Below are 1898 nucleotides of genomic sequence, written 5' to 3'. Positions count from 1 at the left end.
TTTCTGTCTCCTTGATTTAATAATGACAGTGGGGTGTTAAAGTCTCCCAGTATTATTGTGTGGGACTGTAAGTCTCTTTGTAGGTCTCCAAGAACTTGCTTTTTGAATCTGGATGCTCCTATATTGGGTGCATATATATTTAGGATAGTTAGCTCTTCTTGTGGCCTTGATCCCTTTACCATTATGTAATGCCCTAATTTCTGAAGGTCAGAATTTCAAATTGGCTTCCCCTGTTCTGAAATCAAATTATCAGCAGGATTGTGTTCCTTTTTGAAAAGTCTAGGGGAGAATTTGTTTTGTTGCCTTTCCCAGCTTCTAGAAAAGAAGATTACATTCCTCAACTCATGGCCCACTCATCCATTTTCATCTGTCCAGCAATGACAGGTTGATTCCTTCTCACACTACATGACTCTAAACCTGATTTTGTCATCAAATCTCTTTTTGTGATTCTTATTCCCTCTTCTACTTTTAAGGACCCTTGTGATTACATTTGACCCACCCCTATAGTCCAGGATAATCCTTCTTGTTAGATGATAAGCAAAATGGTGATTTCATTTGCAACTTTAATTTCCCTTTGCCATATAATCTAATATTTTCATAGGTTCTGGGTTTTGGGACATGGGCATTTTTGGGAGGCCATTATTCTGCCCACCACACTCAATAATTCACCTTTACTGACTTTCTTTCTCTGTTTGTTTCAGTCCCCCTAGTGGTATTATTTTCCTGGGTTCAACTTTGCTCAGTTTTTATTTTTATTTTTTAATATTATTTTTTCTATTTGTTCCTTGGTGACTCATAATAAACTTCATGTATTAATCATATTTCAGCTGTCTCATTAGATTATCAGCTAATCTCTAATGTTTCTTCTAAAAATTATTTCAGTTTCTAGATCTGTAGTTATATCACCTGTTAATAATGACAGTATCATTTCATTCTTTTCTTTTTTACCTTTTTCTTATTTAATTGCTTTTGCTAGAATTCTAAATACAATGTTGAATAGAAATGGTGAGTTTGGCCACTCTTCTTATTCTAATTTAAATGAATATTATCTAATAATATCTAATGTTTTGTTACTTTGAATAATGTTATTATGATAAATTAATCAAGCTGAAGTTTTTAAAATACTAGTTTACTAAATATAAGCATTTCAAGTTTGAATTTTTTTATTCTTACTAGTTCACTAAAAGTTACCATGAATAGGGTTTAATTTTATCAAAGTCATTAAACTATATTTTAATGGATAGTCATGTTTCCCTTCTTTAATCTGACAATATGGTAAAGGTCATTTATAGACTTATTAATTAAAGCCACTCTCTGTATTCCTAGGATAGAGATTTTTTAGTTATTTTAAATGATAGTTTTTAAGATAATATGAAATTAAATTGCTATCTTCAGATTTTTCATTTACATTAGTGATTGATATAGATTTATAATTTTCATTATTTAATATTGCTCTTTTCTGGTTCCTTATTCCTAAGTAGATCCTTTAGTAGTTCTTTGAGTAATAGTATGTAAATGGGAAATTGTTTCCATTTTTGTTGCCTGAAAGTACCTTAATTTCATTCTCATCTTGATTGATCATTTTTCTGAGTATATATTAATTTTTGAGAATTTTTTTCAACATTATACATGCATTATTCCATTTATTTCAGTTTCTACTGTTCCTTTGCAAAGGCTGTTGTCAGAATCTTTTTAGTTTGTATAATTTTGTTTAATAATTTTTCTTTTCTCTCCATTTGCTTTTTAAGTTTTCCTTCCTCTTGGGGTTATAGTAATTTTTATTACTATAAAATTAGGTGTAGATTCATTTTCACTTATTTCATTCAGTTCTTGTTGCATCACAAAATAAAGATTCAAGCAAGTTCTTACATGGGTAAATGTCTCAACCATTGTCTTTC

Source organism: Homo sapiens, chromosome 4, assembly GCF_000001405.40.
Source record: "Homo sapiens chromosome 4, GRCh38.p14 Primary Assembly".
Lineage (NCBI taxonomy): Eukaryota > Metazoa > Chordata > Mammalia > Primates > Hominidae > Homo > Homo sapiens.
Note: the sequence above shows the minus strand (reverse complement) of the source record.